This window comes from Homo sapiens, chromosome 4 (assembly GCF_000001405.40).
Source record: "Homo sapiens chromosome 4, GRCh38.p14 Primary Assembly".
Classification (NCBI taxonomy): Eukaryota; Metazoa; Chordata; class Mammalia; order Primates; family Hominidae; genus Homo; species Homo sapiens.
Genome location: NC_000004.12, coordinates 171,108,703 through 171,129,305, shown reverse-complemented (window position 1 = coordinate 171,129,305; position 20,603 = coordinate 171,108,703). Strand labels below are relative to the sequence as shown.

Genomic DNA, 20,603 nt, shown 5'->3' with positions numbered 1-20,603 from the left:
TTTTGCAGCTATGCGAAAGTAAGTTCCTGATTACCTCGACCAATTCTCCACTCCCACCATAATAGCTCACTTGGGCTGATAAAGAAAATAATGTCATTGTTCTTTGTTTGCTTAAATTGCAAAAAGCCGGATTTAATTTTATTGTTTCTCATTATGAAATTATGAGCTTCTCCAAAATGCAGAATATACACACACAATATGTCAACAATAATCTTAAAAAATCTAAGAAAAAATGACCAAATTATTTTTGTCATTTCTATATAAAATATTCACATTTGCTAAATATTATATCTAAATCTTTCAAGGCTAAGCAAAAGTTTCGTGATAAGACTTGTATATTAATTAAAGTAATAGCATTATTGAATTTCACTTACAAAATATTGCCTGTAAAGCAAGATAAATATAAAAGAGATAACTATGAGAAAAATAATTATTATCAAAATGTACCTGCACATTACCATTGTTGGCAGAAGAAAATAATGTTGAGTGAAGTTTTTTCTTTTAGTAATATATAATTAAAATATAAATGTACATAAAATGTATGTGCTCATTAATATGACAGTATATGCTAATCCAAGTTCAAGGGGAAAAACTGATCTGGCCATTTGAGATATGAGTAAGAGAACAGAAAAACATTGCAATTCAACACAAGCGTCATATTGTCCCAATGTAAAATATAGACCTTTTGTATTTAATAATACATTTCTTTTCAGTCTGGGCTCATTTTTTCCTCCTTGATATGTATGAAAAAAATACAGTATTTAATGTTTCTATAATAACTACTATTTTATTGAATTATAAATCAAATAGGCATTTGTAAAATCACCTGCTCACTCAGTTTGATTTTGAAAATGATTGTTTATAAAATAAATATTATATTTATTTTATATATATATGTATATCTGATGAGAGAGATATATATTGCAATACAATAATAGGAGGGGATTCAATACCCTGCTTTCAATATTGGACAAATCATCCGTACAAATTAATAAGGAAGCATTAAATTTGAACACTTTAAACCACATTAACCTAACAGACATATACAGGACATTCCATTCAACAGCAACAGAATACAGCAACATCAAGTGCACATGAAACATTCTCCAGGCCAGGTCACATGTTGGGACACAGAACAAATCTTCACAAATTTAATAGCATTGGAAACATATCAATATATTTTCTGACTGTAATGGTATGAAACTAGATATCAATAATGGGAAATTTTGATAAATTCACAAATACATAAAATTGAACAACATGCTCCTGAAAAACCAATGGACCAGTGTAGAAATTAAAAGGGAAATTTAAAAACATCTCAAGAAAAACAAAAATAGAAACAAAACATACAAACACTTATGTGATATAGCACAAAGCAATTTTAAGATAAAAGTTTATAGCAATAAACACCTACATCAAAAAATAAGAAAAATTTTAAATAAATAATGTTACTCCTCAAAAAACTAGAGAAAGAACAAACTAAGTACGAAGTTAGCAGAAGGCAGAACATAATAGAACATAGAGCACAACAGATAAAATAGAGAAGAACAGAAAAACAATAGAGAAAATCAATGGAACCAAATTTGGTCAGTTGAAATGGTCAACAAAATTGGCAGCCGTTTAGCTAAACTAAAGAAGAAAAATTGATAAGAATCAAATAAATAAAATTGGAAATGAAAAAGGAGGCATTACAATTGATTTTATAGAAATATAAAGGATCATAAAATACTATTATGCCAACAAATTGGATAACCTAGAAGAAATGGATAAATTTTTAGACACATACTACCCAACAAGACTTAATCATAAAAAAATAGAAAATCTTAACAGGACAAAAAATAGTAAGAAGAATTAATCAGTAACAGAAAGTCTCCCATGAAAAAAAAAAATTTAAATAAAAGAGAATCTGATGGCTTGATGGTTTCACTGCTGAATTCTACCAAACATTGAAAGAATTACTAATACCAATGCATCTCAAAATCTTCCAAAAAAAATGAAGAAGGAATACTTCCAAACTCATTTTACAAATCTAGCATTTCCCTGATAGAAAAGCCAGACAAGGACATTACAAGAAAAAAAAAATACAGGCCAACAACCTTGGTGAGCATAGGTGCACAAATCCTCAACAAAACACTAGCAAACCAAATTCAATGATACATTAAAAGTATCATCTACCATGATCAAGTGAGATTTTTCCCTGAGATGCAAGGATGATTCACCATGTGCAAATCAATAAATCTGATATATCACATTGCCAGAATGAAAGACAAAAATTATATGATTATTTCATTAGATGCAGAAAGGCACTTAAAAAATTGAACATCCTTTCATCGTAATAATTTTTAAAAAACCTCTTTACCTACACATAATAAAGACCATATATGAGAAGGCCACAGTTAACAGTATATTCAATGGTAAAAATTTGAAAGCCTTTCCTCAAAGATCTGGAAAAATACAGGAATGCCATCTCTTGACAGTTTTATTCAACATGGTATTGGACATTCTTGCCAGACCAATTAATAAAAATTTAGAAAATAAAAGACATTTAAATGGGAAAACAAGAACCATCACTTTTTTTTTTTTTTTTTTTTTTTTTTTGAGACAGGGTCTCACCGTGTCATCTAGGCTGGAGTGCAGTTGCACCATCAGGACTCACTGCAACTGCAACCTCCCAGGCTCAGGTTATCCTCCTGCCTCAGCTTCCCTAGTAGCTGAGACTAAAGGTGTGCTCCATGATGCCCAGATAATTTTTGTATTTTTTGGTAGACAGGGTTTTGCCATGTTGCCTAGGCTGGTCTCATGTTCCTGGGCTCAAGCCATATATCTGCCTCCAGCCTCCCAAAGTGCTGTAATTACAGGTGTGAGCCACTGCATCTGGCCAAAACGTCACTTCTTACATACAGAAAACCCTAAAGACCCCACATAAAAACTATTAAAACTAGTACATAATTTACCTCACTATAGAGGTAAGTTGAAAAATACAAAAATACTCACCAAAATCAGTAGTTTCTATACACTAACAAGAAACTGTCCGCAAATGAAATCAAGAGAACAATTCCATTTACAGTAGCTACAAAAAGTGAAATACTTAGGAATAAACTTAACTTGGGAAGTAAAATAATTCTACAGTAAAAACTGTAAAAAACTGGTGAAAGAAACTGAAGACACTAATACATGAAAAGATACCCCATGTTTATGGACTGGAAGATGTAATATTCTAATGTTCATACTACACAAAGTCCTCTTCAGATTCAGTGAAAGTTCTATCAAAATTGCAATGTGATTTTTCATCGAAATAAAAAGATTCTAAATGTATATGAAACCACAATGAAACCCAAATAACCGAGGCAATTATGTACAACCAATAACAAAGCTAAGAAATCACACGATCTAATTTTAAACTATAGTAATTATATCAGCATAGTAGTGGCAGAAAAATAAATAACTGAAGACACATAAACTATGGAACAGAATAGAAAACCTGGAAATGAATAAAGAACACATGTATAGTCCATTAATTTTTGACAAAAATCCAAGAATACACAGTACAAAAAGGATAATCTCTTCAATAAATGGTGTTGGGAAAACTGGATACCCACATGCAGAAGAATAAAACTGGACCCTTATCTCACACCACACACAAAAATCAACTCACAATGGATTAAAGACTTAAACATAAGTTCAGAAACTGTAGAACCACTAGAAGAAAACATAACGAAAAAAACTACATGACATTAGTTTGGGCAATATTTTGGGGGGTTTGACCCCAAAAGTATAGGAAATCAAGTCAAGAATCAACAAATGATTACATTGAACTGAAAAGCTTCTGCATGGCAAATAAAACAATTAATAGTGTGAAAAAGACAAATTAGGAATTGGGAGAAAATATTTGCAAGCCATACATCTGGCAACAAGTTAATCCCCAAAATATACAAGGAACTAAAACAATTCAACAGTAAGGAAATAATAAAAAGCATCTCTAAAAAGAAGACATATAGTCAACAGACATGGCAAAATGCCCAACATTGCTAATCATTAGGAAAATGCAAATTAAAATCACAATGACATACCATCTCTTACCTGCAGAATGGCTACTATAAAAAAGATGAAAAATATGTTCTGGCAAGGATGTGGAGAAAAGACAACTCTTTTACACTGTTGGTGGGAATTTAAATTAGTTTAGTCATTAGAAAATTGTATGGAGGTGCCTCAAACATCAAAGACAGTATTATGGATGCCCCCGATAAACCCATCATAAGTTAAAGATATTGTAAGTTAAACATGCATTTAACACACCTAACCTACTTAGCAGCATGGCTCATTCTAGCCTACATTAAATATTCTCAGAACAATTACATTAGCCTACAATTGGACAAAACCATCTAACAGAAAGCCTATTTTATAATAAAGTGTTGAATACCTCCCATAACTTACTGAATACTTGGCTGAAAGTGAAAAACAGAATGGTTGCATAGGGACTACTATGACAGTAAATTTCAAATGTTCTCATCACAAAAAAGATAAGTATTTGAGGTGATGAATATGCTAATTAGCTCAATTTAATTATTCCAGGTTATATTCATAAATCATAATATCACTTTCTACCCCATAAGTATATACAATTATAAATTGCCCATTTATAATAAAAAATGATAAAACAAAATAAAATGGTTGTTTTACATCCTCATACTATACTATTATATTTTATGGAGTACTTTTCTTTTAATTTTTTTTATAGATAAGGTCTCAATCTTACCCAACCTGGAGTGCCAGTAGCATATCATTGGTCACTGCAATACCAAACTTCTGGGCTCAAGTGATTCTCCTGCCTCAGCCTTCCAAGAATCTTTGACTATATGCATGAACCACCATGTCCAGCTAATTTTTTAAGCATTTGTACAGAGATGAGGTCTCACTACATTGCTCAGGCTTGTCTCAAGCTCCTGGCCTCAAGCAATGCTCCTCCCTTGGCCTCCTAAAGGGTTGGGATTACAGGCATGAGCTACCACACCCAGCCTTTTAAAAATATATTTTATATTTTTTCATACATAGCCACAACTAGAGAGAATAGTATTTATTCCCCTTTGCATTTATTTCTAAGTTGCAAAAATTAATGCAATTTAACCAATTCTGTTTTTGTCTATTTTATGCTGGAGAATTTTTAGGCAAATTCAAGAAAACTATTTTATACTTAAATAATTCAGTACGTATCTCTAACAATTAAGATATTTTTTCTTTTTAGTATAGCCAGAATTTCATTATTATCTATTCAAATTTAAAAAATAATTTCTCAATATAATCTAATGTCTAGTCTATGTTCAAAGTGCTCCCCTAGCGAAACAATTTAAAAATAAAATAGAAAATGTAAATTGCGCTAAGGATTTGCATGAGCCATTTGTTGAAACCATAACAGTATTCACTCAAAGAGCTCATGAATGAAGTGGCCACACTGGTAGATATGGATATGATGTATAAGCTCAACAACATGGGTTCCTCTTCACACACAAAAAAAGCCAGATCTGGCCTGTATTCCTGCATACTGCTTAATTTTCCAACAGAAGAAACAAATACTGAATCCATGATAACATCATGCTCTGGCATAGAGCAACCAAGTATATTTGTTAGCATGATAAATAACTAAATCTTTTTATTTACTGGAGCAGTCATTTCTTCTTGATGGATCTCTTGTTAAGCATTCACATAACTTAGAAATAGTGCCAAAGTCTGGGTGCATTCTGAGAGGGCCTTGTACACACCTCCATTTAAGGGCTCCTTGTGACCAATCTTTCAATCTTGTTTCTTCCAAGTTCCTCGACATCCTGCAATCTGATGTTTGTTGGTGACTGAGTATAAAAAAGCTAGAAATATATCTATGTTCATATATCTTTCCAAGCATGGTAAACAACTTTATAGGCATTCAGTTCTGCCTGCCAGGATAATTTTCCTCCCCTAATTGTCTTTAGTGCTTCTCCTAGATAATGATATTCTCTTCTACTTCTGACTAGTAGCAGAATTTTTTTGCATATCTATCCTTACATGAGACATGAATATCTTCTTTTTGGACAAACATCATATAAAGCACTTTCTGAGGCTATAAGAAGAAATTGGTATAATGCAAATATGAGCAGCAAATGCAATGTTCTTGTGCTGTTACTCTACTGTCAGGATCTCCTGTAACTTTATCATGCCACTTTTACATAGTGATAGAATTCTACAGGATACACACAGCTGTATGACTTGAAAGACAAGATATTATTTACATCATTTTTGGCTGGTGAGCTCAAGTTTTCACTCTGTGTACTATAGTCAGATCTTTCTTACTTTCTTATACGACTCAGCAAAGAACTGTTTTTTCAAAGTTTGAATAATTTTTTTTTTTTTTTTTTTTTTTTTTGGCCAAAGAGAATGTTACATTTCAGCAAAACACTCTATTCTGTTTCTTCTATGGGGGCATAGGACAGGCACTATTATGCTTATAACCCTTGCACTGATAGTATGATCTGAGACAGTATTTGCTGAGAACTGAATCTAAATTTCAGGTGATAGTTCAGCTTCTCCTGCAATTGAAAAAGCCAGAATTCTTCCATTCTGGAAACCACTTGAAGCAGGCAGCCAGACAGGTTCCTCAGTAGATGTAGAGGAGCAACATGATCAATATGGTAAATGTCAAATCAAAAATCTAAAAAGTCCCAGCAGGCTGGGCACAGTGGCTCATGCCTATAATCCCAGCACTTTGGGAGGCCAAGACGGCAGATCACCTGAGGTTGGGAGTTCAAGACCAGCCTGACCAATATGGAGAAACCCCGTCTCTACTAAAAATAAAAAAATTAGCTGGGCGTGATGATGCATGTCTCTAATCCCAGCTACTTGGTAGGCTGAGGCAGGAGAATTGCTTGAACCTGGGAGGCGGAGGTTGCGGTGAGCCAAGATCGCGTCATTGCACTCCAGCATAGGGAACAAGAGTGAAATTCTATCTCAGAAAAAAAAAAATGATGTAACTATTTCTTAGTAGCAGCCATCATAACTGGCAGAAATTCATCTTTAACTTTTAACAGAATGGGTTGACTTTGTACCTCCACAAAATTCAATGAGATAACGAAACTCTGAATATTTCTAATGTTTATTTTCTACTTTCTGGCACGTATATTTCTTACCAATGTATGGAGAATACCTCCTTCTTCCTTGATCACTGAAGCTTCTAAGCAAGTTGTCATCAATACTGTGGAACATGATGATTGTGAGATGGTCTAATTTAATAAGAAGTAAATTATCAAAGAGTTATAAATTTGTACTTAACCTGAGACACCATGGTAATCATGTATATCTATTGCCTATTAAAATAAATATAATATACTTGCATCTTATGATTAATTGCTGCCTTTGGCCTATGCCATGTTTGAATGCTATCTGTGGCAATTTGTTACGCTAATAGTTCTCAATGAATCCCATCTCCTATATCCATGTTCTTGTGTTCCCTTCCATGTTGACTCTGGGCTTGGTCATGAGATTTTTCTTGGCCACTGGGATATTAGCATGTATGACAAGCAAATAATTGAAAATCCTTGTATTTACGGTTTAAGTGCTTGCTCTCTTGTTTCTGAAAATTCTTCCGTTATTATGTGAAAAATAGGCTCCTGGAAGATGACGGCATCTGATGAAGTGCTCTGGTGCTTCCAACTATATCATCATTCTGTTAGAAAACCAAACACATGAAGAGCCCAATCAACACCCTGGGAGAACGAGGCATCTCATGTGAACCCCCATCAAAGTGCGAAGCCTCAGAATTATAATTAAGTAAGTGTTGGTTTTAGATCTCTGTGTTTGGAAATAGTTTTCAAGGCAGAAACATATAATCACTACAGAAATTAATGGCGAGATAAAATCTGTTATTGCTATTATTATTTTAGACAAACTATTGTCTATTAGGTCAACTAAAAGTAAGAAAACTGAAAGTTTGGCTGGTTGCGGTGGCTCACACCTGTAATCCCAGCACTTAGAAGCCAAAGTGGGCAGATCACCTGAGGTCAGGAGTTCAAGACCAGTCTGGCCAACATGGTGAAACCCTGTCTCTACTGCTTGTGCATATATATATACACTGATGTAGATTTATGTGTAAGAAAAATTAATGACAGCAATGACACAAGGGACAGGAGGGAGGAATTAGGATTTTTTGTTATTATAGGAGACTCACACTAACTGTGAAACAGTATAATGTTGTTTGGAAGTGGACTTAGATTAGTTGAGTAAGAAAATGAAATCATACAAAATGCTCAATTAAAACTACAAAAGGCAGAAAAAGTGAAAGACAAAAATAGTAACAAAAAACAAGAGCAACAGATAGAAAACAGTAACAAATATGGTTGATATTAATCCAACTGTATCTGTAACCACTTTAAATATCAATGGTCTAAACACACCAATTAAAAGACAAAGATCATCAGAACAGATAAAAAAAAGAAATTAATGGCGAGAATTGGGAACTATAACAAAAATCTAAGACATACGGCATAGTCTGTGGAATTGGGAAGACGATGGACACTGAGAAAAAACAAGAAATAGTTGGTGAAGATAAGAAAAATAAACAATGGATAATGGTTCTTGCGAAACCTATGAGTAAACTGCTGTTAGACACTGGAAAAATGGTGTCTCATATAGTTTAAAAGCAATTATCAAAACATCATTTGCAGTAACTGGGAAGCTGTAAAACATACCTAATGAACACGTGGACCTTGCCTTTTAGGGATAATATTAAAAGGCTCAATCAACTTCTTTTAGTCATGTATGAAAAGATACGAGCAAATACATTAGCTATTCAAAGGGAAAGGATTGGAAGGCACACATCGGTTTCTGGTCCATAGCAATTCTGAAGTCCAACAAGGAGCATGTTGTCAGGTTCTTCTCAAGGGACAGGGATGTTACTTTCTGATTTCTGTGAGTTCCTTCCTAATTCGATTTTTCTCTGTGGCCTTTAGGCAAACACATACAATTAATACAGAAATTAGTGTTTACAACTGGGGATTATAATTAAGGAAATAATTAGAGAAAAAGTAGAGGAGTTAGGAGTTGCTAGCATCTCTAGTACTTTTAGCAAGGAAAAAATTCTCAAAAATTAATAAATAAATAATAACCTCATGGCAAATCAATTGTGTGACCATAAAATCTCTTTATTAAAGACCTCAGAATGATTTTGGGAAGTCTCTGAGACCCTACTAGTTGTACAAAAGGGTCTCTAAACACACTCAAATTAGAGATATTTGTTTCAAAATGAATTAAGAATATGATATTTGGGTCATAAATTGAACTACCATAAGAACTACAGGAAACTAAAAATTTTAAACAGAGTTGTACTGCCAAGAACTTCCAGCATAGACTGAAAAAAGCAGCAATTGTTCAAAATGAAGTGGTCTCTGAAGTCTCAAAAGGAAGAATTTCATTGGGCAGGATGTAGTCTGAGAAAGTGGCTCATTTGCAAATATATGTAATTTCTGAACAGAAAAGAAATGGAATCTCAGAGGGAAGCCCAATAAGTCCAAAAAGTTGAGGCAAGGGCCACAAAGGAAAAACTACTTAGGGAAGCACTTCCAGCAATCAGAAAGAAACATCCCCTGCCCCTTTAGTAGAAGAACCTGACAACATGCTTCTGGTTAGATTTCAGAATTGCTATGGACCAGAAATGAATATGTGCCTTCCAAACTTCCCTGTTGGAATAGGATTATTTACTGATTTTAACTAGCTCCTGTCTCATCACAGCATATAGCGTACGTGTTGAATAATTAATTTATTTTTTTCTTCATAGTTCTTCAAACATTTCTTAAAAACATTAAAATTGCTGATATCTAATATAAAATAATGAAATAAAGGTAATTCAGATTGTAATAGCATCACTTAATTCATTTTCTTAATGGAAAACTCTGAATTGCTTCCAAGTTATACTATAAAGTTAAAAGAATTCAATGTTTTTTATCATCCTCCTTAGACACATATCACACATTGGTAACTTAGTTTCTAATTCTGGCAAAGTTGAACTGTTTTGAAGTTCAGGAATGATTCTGTGTTATCTGGAGGATTTTTTCCAAAAGGTTATTTTATTTTGCAAGTTGAAAAACATTTTGTTCTTAATTTGAGAAGCTCATGTATTTCAATGTCTCTCCTCATTACTGCTGCCTTTTTGGTAATCAGGTCAATAAGCACAAGTATTCCATTCTCCTATTCCCCAGTAACTTTCCTTTTATGTCATGTTAATTAAATAGTTTCAGAGAAATATAAGAATATTCCTTTACAGTTATTTCTTGGGTAGAATTTGAATCTTGGGGTGCTGTTTCTTAAGCTTTTTTTTTTTTAACTAGTATTAGTCTCTTTCCTAATACTAACAATGTAAAATTTACCTCCTTCAGTTGTTTATTACAACTTTTAAGACACGTGGGTGCATTTGTTAACTTAGTGAATAAGCAGTTAATATTTGTCCATTTCATTGTGTATAAACCTTATATCAAAAGAAAAACTATAAACAAATACTAAACTATGTGATGGTATGCGTACTGAAGTATTTAGGAGGAAATCTATTGATGTCTGAAATTTGAAATGTAACAAAAAATAAGGAGTAATGAATGGCTAGGGTGATGGGTAATGGATACATAATAAGAATAAGTGGATACATAATAAGAAAGCATGGTAAAATCTGGCTGGTGAGTATATGGAGTTTTTATTGCATAAATCTTTTCAACTTTTCTCCATGTATAAAAATTTTCACAATAAAATATTGAGGATAAAAGCTCCAAGACAGATTAATTATCCTCCAGAACATATAGAAATGATTACTCTTTTACAGCAGTTTTCTGGTAAGTCTCCTTTTTTTGTTGAAATCTAATACTAACATATACTGTGACTAGTGTCTTGGAAACTCATAAACAACTTAAGTTGCTTCCTAAAATACTTTATTATTTTTCCTGTTTGTGTTTCTTTGGTGTGGCTTGATTTTTGAGTTGTGGTTTGTTCAATAAACTGCAGAACTTTATAATCAGCAGAAGCATTACAATTACATGACTCATTTTGTATTTTCCTGTAGTAACTAGGACTTGGATGATTTTATTTTATGAGGGACTGGAAGTCTCAGGAAATAGGAAGCAATGTGATCAAGATATCTAGTGTGGAGTATCAGAAGACCCTAGACAGAGGCAGAGACAGAGAAGGCAAAGCCCTGGAAACCCCTCTTTGTAGATTGGTAACAGCCATGTCACATCTGTCTTTCCAGCCAAGTGCCACTAAACAGCCTTCATTTCTCCCTCTTGCTTACCAGATGAGAATGTTGGTAAGCAAGTTATGTCCTTGTCATAACTAAGCTCTGATAAGGTTCAGAGTTCATATGGTTAATTAAGACAAGAACAGTACTCAAGTGCATGGATTTCCTTTACAATCTTTACATTATGCTGGTCACATGGATTTGTTAAGCTCCAAATTTATTTAACCTATACCCCTAAAATAAGCTTATGGAAGCTCATTGGTTTGATCAAGATACACATAAATTAAGTAAAGTACTTACTAATGCATGTGTAACATCCACATAGATGTCTAGCTATTGCAAATGCTCAATAAACATTTGTCAAGAAAAAGAAATGAGGACATGTACATTTTAATTGGCTTAATCATCAGTCTTGCCTAGTTGTTAGTATGATGTCAATACCATGTCTCTAGCCTTATGCCGTACTTGCATTTTTGGTGCTTCCTTGTATTACCTTTTGTTTGTCATGAATCATATGGCCTGTCCTGTGTTGATTACTTACTCTAGATCTCAAAATATAATCTTCTGATCCAAGATAGTCTCAAGGAGGGTTCTCTCCTATTATGTGTTGATAAAATAGAAAATAAGAGTTTATTCTTTTCAGATAACAGATTCAATACATATGTCAAAACATTAAGAGAGGAAAGCACAAATAAGTTTTGTTCTGGGCTTTCCACTTTCTTTCCTTCTTAAATAGTTTTAAATCTTTAGTTTCTATAGTTTTATAATTTTCCCCATGCTTTGATATCTAATAAATTATATGAAGTTCTTGACCTAAGACATGGCTATCCAAACTTAAGGTATATGAAATTTATATACTTAATAAAACAACTTAAATCACCAAACCAAAACAAAAAGTCACCCAATACCAACATATAGTTATTTCTTTATTCCATTCCCACTCAGAGAATTACTGTATAATTGTAGAATGTACTTTGAAAGAAGTAACACATGTGATTCATATACAACTTCCTTAGAAGGTAATTTTTTATACTGTCTTAAAAATTACACTTTTAAGATAAAGATATTTAAATTAATTTTCAACATAAATGTTAAAACCATAAATTTGAGAGATAATACACCTATTAATTACAGAGAACATTCTTAAAGAATGCATTTTCTTTTTATAATTGCAACTCTTCTCACTTATTGTATAATGTAGTCAAACATTTGAAAAGTCTGTAACAAGTTATAGATGAAGGCATAAAAAAAAGTATATTATTTCATAGTTTTAATCCCAAGCCAATTACATGTCCATCGGTTAAAACATTTATTGAAATTTCAAAACAATATTTTTAGTATATTCCATGAAATAAAGTGTCTAGTTCCCCAAAGGAATTTTTACTTTATAATATTACAAAACAATAATACTAGATACTTTTATGATTATTACAGAAGAATTGCAAACTGCATACTTTCAAATTTAAAAATACATATTTTGACTACTTTTACAGCCTTATTATGTTTGTTACAGTGAGATTTCTCAACAACCATCTTGTACAAAGATTTTCTCTTACATTATAGTTCTTTTCTTATTGTATTCTAATTAGAGACCCTTAAGTTTTAATATAAATGCTTGCGACTAAATACAAAATGGAGTTACAATATTTAGTGCTCCTGGGAATCCTCATAATATCTGCTCTACTATAGTTATCTCACTGTTTTGACGATCCCACACCACCAAAAATGTATGGTGAGATATCAGCATTTATAGTCATTATTTGTAATAACTGAGGAGATTCTGAATACTTTCTCAAATTTATCTTCACATTATAATTCTAAGTTTTATCTAAAGTATAAAATTATTATTTTTTAGCTTTTCTTTTATATTTTATATTCAATGTTTTATTACATACTTTAGATGGGATATATACATATGTATGTATCTTTTAGATATGTAATGTATCTATCCAATTAAAAGTTTGAGCCAGCAATTAGGGAACTTCATATTTAGTCTTCTCTTGTCATACAGTCTCAAACTATTTCCTTTTGTACTCTTAAAACTTTTAGTTATAGATGGCATCTTTATTATTTATTTCCTAAAGCATCAACATACAGTAATAAGAATTATCAGGTATAAGTGGTTGTTTGTTTTTTCTGGCAGTTGGTAAATAGTTGATAAATGCTTTTGGAACTGATTTATGGAGGGCCCCAAAAACCAGATAGTGACTTTTTTTGATGCTAGATCTTTCTGCAAAAATAAATGCACAAAAAGCTATTTCCAGAATGAAAAGAGTATCAAAATACAATTCCTCAAAAACACATTTTCTAAATTACTAATGTGACGAATTGTGGAGTCCTATTAAAAATGTTCAAGCTCTACTTGCCTCAGCATGGGCAAGGCAAGCCTAGGAGCAAGGGCAGAGGCAGGAGTACACAGAAACAGAGACAAACTGCAAACTCTATTTAAGAAAAACTTCGGGAGGCCGAGGCGGGTGGATCACGAGGTCAGGAGATCGAGACCATCCGGGCTAACACAGTGAAACCCTGTCTCTACTAAAAATACAAAAATAGCTGGGCGTGGTGGCACGTGCCTGTAGTCCCAGCTACTCGGGAGGCTGAGTCAGGAGAATGGCGTGAACCCGGGAGGTGGAGCTTGCAGTGAGCCGAGATCACGCCACTGTACTCCAGCCTAGGCAACAGAGCAAGACTCGATCTCAAAAAAAAAAAAAAAAAGGAAAACTTCACTTGTTTGTATATCAGATGGCTGGGGTAAATAGAATACTAAAGCTTTGTAAAACTCTGATAACTAGCTTTCAACTTCTATTTAAAAGCCTAGAAATTAAATAAAACTGGTTGATTTAATAAGATGTCCAGAGATAGGCAGGGTCTGGTGTTCCATCAGCAGCTCAACAATGGGGGAACTGACATCTTTGTGATTCTCTAGCCCTTCCTTCCCTTTGGTTAAAAGGACTACTCTAGCTTCAGACATCACTTCGGTGTTTATGGCAGACAGAGGAAGAAGAGATGACCTAGCTGCATATATAACTTTAATGAGGAAGCAAAAGTTTTCCCAGAAATCCTGAAGCCAAAGCTGTGTTCCCAAAGCCATTCATAGTTGCAACAGAGGGTGCAAAAGGAGCAGTTAGCTTTTCTAGATTCTTTAGTGGAGGCAGGGAAGGGAGAAGCAGAGTGGGAATGGCTGGCAAATTAGACCACCAACATTACCTTCATAGATAATTAATTCTCTTTCAAAATGCATAGTTCATATGTCGAGAAATGTCTAACATCAATTTTAGGGTTATAATTTGAAATTCAGTTCTGCTTTCAATCATGATATATTTGTAACAGGTGCATTTCAGTTATACTACTTTTCCTGCCTGCCCCTTCCCCCACATTCTAGAATGAAAATAAAATAAAATAAAATTACTCACTCTTTCAAGAAAGAGTGGGAAAACAAAATCAAAAGGTCAACAATGACAAGATATGTTCAACTACTTTTCTGCTCATTGTCCTTCCATATTAAAGAACATTTGGAAAACATCTGCACATTCTCTGGCATTTAAGAACTGATGCAGCTGACCAAAGCCATGTGGTTTCCTCCGGTTCCATTAACACAGAATACTTTTTCTGCAAAAATGGAAAATTTCCTTAGTGTCCATTTCATCATTTGAACCATAAAAAGGAATGTCTTCTTGATGGCGAATTAAGATTCTCTTCCAGATAAATTTTCGGAGTCTTGATCAGAATTCTTTACAGGAACTTTATGAGCCTTCTACACAAACAACGTCAGGTTTCCCAGACATGATACCCCACACAGAGAAAGCTCCTTTGCTCACCCCAAAATATACCTTCGTTTGCATTTGTTTTAGAAATGATGGCTGTAGATCCAGAGTCTCATGAAGATGAGATCGACTGACTTGATTGTACTACCGTTGTGGGAAAGGTGAATAATCTCTGTTGACATAGCCAGAGGCGTGTTCTCTAACCCACTCTGGCATTCAGTATAGAGACATCTCTGTGACAGTTTTTTTGCAGGCATGCAGTCAGATCTGTGTTCACCTGAGCCACTTAATAATAGCGATCTTCTCAAAAAGATTTTACTCTGTGAAATCAAAGACCTTTAGGTCAGTAGTGTCTTTGTGGTATTCTTTCTAATCTCTTGTGAAGGTTTATTGAACGGAACTACATGTAGACCTTCCTCCTTCATGCCTTCCTTTGGCTTTCTATTTAGTCCTGAGACATGGTCCTCTTACTGATGGACCCCAAGTCCCTTGGCTGCACAGAGAGCTCAATTTTTATTGGGAGGGAGCCTCAAAATTCTAGGATACTGTAACCCAAGACTTATAAACTGCTCCTGCAGGGTGGCCTAGGGAAAAAGCGTGATAGCACCCTCTTGGCTTGTGCACGTAAGTGCTTATATATCAACTGTCATTCTTCTTTTGGAATTCTGGAGTGACTCCCAGTTGCCTCCAAAAAATTCTTAATTCATGATTTTAATGCTTCTTCCTAGTCAGCTATGTTAGTCACCCTTACGGTTCAATATCCTTCAGTATTGGGTTTTAAGCAATAAATTATCTTTGTCCTTTATTGTAATCTAAACATCATCAGTAATATTTTTCCTAAGTGTAACATTTTGCTTCAAATCATTTCTTTGCCTTTTTTAAAAATGTTATATGCCATTTCCTACATGTAACCATTCCAGGTACATTCCTGGACAAAAAATTACTTGAAATATTTCTGCCCAATTATTTTTGTGGCCTAAATTGCATTATACTTAAATCTGCAGAGTAAATCATGTATGTTTGTTTTCATTTGTGTGTATTTTGTGTTTGTACGTAGTCTTACTTCTGGATTGCAAGGTTCTCAAGTTGAGAGACACACTATCTCATTCCACAGTAATTACTATGAGAATGAGGACTGAGGAAAATAAGTATTTATCAATCACTAATTTCCTCTTTTATCAAGAATGTTAACAACTTAATTTCTTACTCATACAACACTTTGCATTACACTAGGTTGAGTTTATTTACTTTTGAATCAATAATCAATAATGTAACCCACCAGAGACTGTTCAATCAGCTTTTTTTTCTTTTTTTTTTTTTTTTTTTGGATTTAGACCTTTACCATATAAAATTGCACCAAATTCTCTTTCCGTTTTCTTAGGACTCTGGCATCAATACAGGTAAACCTTTTTATACTACATGTTGAGTTTCCCTATCCTCCCATGGGTGGCAACGGAAAGCTCCCATGAGAATAAATGAAGATGTCTTCACAAGTTCTAGTACTATGTATTACGCTTAAGTTTTTAAGGAGATCTTGTTACAAACTCTAAATACAGGGAACTTATGATTTATTTCTAAAGCCATGACTTAACAAATTCATAAGACAACTCTCACTGGGCTGTATTATATCTACCCAAAGTGAAATGAGAATTATGGGAATGGTTTCCAAAAATATGATGAAAAAAAGAAGAGCTAGGTCATCTTCTAGGTCATGACATTTTCTATTTAAATTCCTCTTCAAATATTGTCTAATGAAAAGATACATAAATTAAAACGTCTCTTTTCCAGGGACACATAAACTACTAATATTGCGTGAGATCCTTTTTTCCTGATGAATGTTTTTATTACTAAGCTCAGCTTAACGGTTTTAGAGAGCTACAAATATTACATGAGTTATATGGCAGCCTGAAACTATGCTAAATTAAATTGTTTACTCGTACTTAGAAAAGAAAGAATCTGAGCACTTCAGAAAATTTTCAAGATTAAAATAAAACTGGCATGAATTAGAAATATGCAAAAAATCAGCTAAATGTATTGATCACATATAGAAATATGGTGTTACCTAATTCCTAAGTGACAATGGTGGCAAATACCTGACTGCTGTGAGATACTAATGTTTTTGTAAGGTACTCTTTGATGTTTGAATCATATCTAAGATTAATATGCAGTCTGGTTCAAAGTACCCAGTTTTTGTATTGCCACAACCTCTGTATACCTTATATGAGAAGAAGAGATGTAAAGGAATCATTAAAGAGCTGTTGGCAACACAGAAACTAAATTTTATCAGATTTTTTCCTCTTCAAAAGTAAATGTTTAAATAATAAACTTTAATGCCTTTCACTACAAACAACACTTGCCTAGTATTTGTATATTTAGAAATATAAAATGAATGAAATCTGAATTCAAAGTTACAATTTAATCCAATTTCCGTCTCTCACTTTGTGTTATTTGGAACACCAGGGTAGAGATTTAGGTGTGAAAAAGGAGTCCCCTTGGTCTTTCATAGTCCACACCTCTTCTCTCCCTTCTGTCTTTGAAGCCCTGTGAGCTAAGAGATTGAGGTGTTTGAAAAACTGAGACTCTTCCCATATCCAGCCTAATGACCTCAGTGGGTTGCAATATTCCGTTTCACTGAATGTAGTAGGGTTTTATTTGTTCATACCAGGGACCTTTTCTGATTGTTCTACCTTTATCTTACTTTCTAGCCACTCTCTCATCCTTCTCTTACTCAGGGTCAGTAAATGCTAGGTAGATCAGTAGTAGAAAGAGGATAGCTTTTTCATGTAGTTTTAAATTTTTAACCTGAATGGTTGGTACTAGCTAGGATGGTCATGGAGCTACACATGAAAGCTCTTGTCTATCAGCTCACTGTTCTGGTGTTTGTAATATCATCCTCTAACCTTTCTCTCAGTTTCCCTTTGGTGATACTCAGACTCTGCACTTAGTGTCTGCAGGCACATCTGAAAATTTCACATGCAGACCACCTCCAATTATGGAACTCAATTTTCTTTTGTTAGAGACTCTCCTTGGGTGGTCCTAATCATGAAGTCCGCCTCCTTAGGGCTTTTTCCTTTGTTTTTCTCTCTTTAACAACACTTTTACAAGGGTCATGATGGCAACAGTCTGCAAAATTTCTTTCAGATTTCCCTGCTCTGTTGTGCTAATTTGACACTTTCTCCCCTTTTATAATAGACTACTGTGGTCCTCTTTTTCAATTAGAATTTTCTGATTAGTTCTTCATGATTTAAAGCATCTTTATCTCTTCAAGGAATCAGATTCATTTAACCTAGAGTAACCTCAATTTTGTACACAACATAAGTAATGCATTCCTTACTTCTACCTTTTAATACAGTCATGCTTAGATGATGTTTTTCCGGTAACCTTAGGGAAAGTTTAAAGAAGGATTTAGGTAAAACATTGTAAGAGCAGAAAGCTAATTGGAATCTCAATAAAAAAATTAATTGCCATGTCCTACAACAATAAAGAGATCAAGTAAATCTCCAGTGTATTTTGCCAGCAATATATTTGCATTAGAAAAGATCAATAGAAGGTAATATAGCAAATTAATTTAGAGAGGTGAAATTTATTAAACCTTGTATTACCATTAGGGGTAGTGCTACTGATAGAACTAAAATTAGTGTTTCGTTTTTTTTTCATAAAATTAATCTTATTTCTGCTTTGTACTGCATGGTGGAATAGAGTTCCCTGTAATAGTATTAGGTATGCATTAAGGTATAAAAATACTTTATCTGAAACTTTTATGGAACCAGAAGGAGTTCACAGCGTGACTGTTGAAGCTACGTGTGTGTGTTTCTTATTTTCTTATTTCAACACGTTAATTTTACAGACATGTATGATGTATTTTCAACCAGAGACCTGTCACACATTTCTTTCTCTTCCGTCTATTGTTGGGCACAAATATTTGAAAGAATTCACACTCTATTTGAAATAAACTAGGTTGTTTCTTTGTTTGCCAAATAAACTAGGTTGTTTCTTTGTTCATTCCACAGTAAAAGGAGAAAATGAATTGCATACATGCTGCTTAACAGCTTTCTTCATATTCCTTTTCTGGACTCGATCAATATCTTCTCATGACATGTTTTTCCTTAATCAGTTTTTAATATTTTCTCTAATAATTTATACCAAAATAACCTCACAGGTCTTTTGATAATTGTTCACCAGAATAATTACTTTTTTAAAAAAATAAATAACTCTTAATGCTTTGAAATTTTTATATGTGATGATGGGGACATTTAATTGAGTGTGTATATTTTTTAAGGCCAAATTCAAGTATTTTTCTGAAAAAAAAAAAAAAAAAAACAGTTTCCATAGGCATTATATAATTTGAGGGTTTAAATCAAACTCCCTGAATGTTTTCTCATCCTGGGCATCATAGTCTACATGAGCAGTCAGGAAATATCTATGAAGTGTCAGTGTACTAGTTTTCTTGTTGCTGCTGTAGCAAATTTCCACAAATTCAGTGGCTAAAACTAGCACAAGTTTACTCCCCTGCAGTCTTGATAAAGAAAATATCTAAACTGAGTTGAACAGGGCTAAAATCAATATATCATCAGGGCTGCTTCCTTCTGGAGACCCTGAAGGGAGAATCTATTTTTTTGCTTTTTTTTAGCTTCTAGAAGACACTTGCATTTCTTGACTAATGATAACTGCAACCTCTTGCTTCCATCATCATATCTGCTATGGTCTCTTGTGTCCTGCTTCCCTCTTATAGGGACCCTTGTGATTACCTAACACCCACCAGGATCATATGTACTAGAGACTATGGCCTGAAAAGTTTAAACATAATTTAATGGCGCCTTTTTCTCCCTGGAGTGTCTTTGTACCTTTTCCCATCTCATAACCAGGTAAAGTGAGAGAAGAATTAAGGAATCGCAGATACACATTTTTCTCATGCTTCTCTTTTTCTCTTAGCAGTCCTTTTTTTTTTTTTTTTTTTTTTTTTTTGTAATTACTCTGGAAGCAAGAAAGATGACAAAGCACTTACTATATTCCTGAAATTGTGATTAAAGTTTTCAATATAGATTTTGCTTTTGTTTAGTTGAATATCATGTTAAAATCCTTATGCCAAACCAAATAGGTAGCCAAACCCATTTGTACTCTTGAAAGTAGTTTTATAAAAGTCAATATATGTGATCAATTCTCAATATATTTTAGAACTTTTAAGGCACCATGTTTGTAAATCATATTTTAAAAAAATCAGTGGTGGAAAACTTTTGGCTTTGAGGTTTGACTTGATTTTTCAAAACAACCAGAATATTGTTGAATCATGCCGGATTAATCTAATTTTAGTTAATTAAATTTAGTTTTAGGATAGTTAAAATAAATCAAGAGATTAACACTATGAGGCAAATATTCTCATACTCATAAATTTGCTTTGAGATTCAATCCATAAAATGAGTTCAAAAAGATTTTAGATACAAATAAGATACCTGAAGCATAATATTATTTTTAAAATTTTTATTTTGGTTAAAAGCCTATAACAAAATTTATCATCTTAACTATTTTTCAGTGTGTAATTTATTCTGCTTATCCATTCTTCCTTTGATGGACACTTGGATTGCTTCCTTGTTTCAGCTATT

General features: G+C 33.4%; 1 pseudogene; it reads right to left on the bottom strand.

Moving 5' to 3' along the window:
- Positions 1 to 14,724: 14,724 nt before the first annotated feature.
- On the bottom strand, positions 14,725 to 17,720 carry LOC101929135 (RWD domain-containing protein 2B-like; annotated as a pseudogene).
- Between the last annotated feature and the right edge of the window lie 2,883 nt (positions 17,721 to 20,603).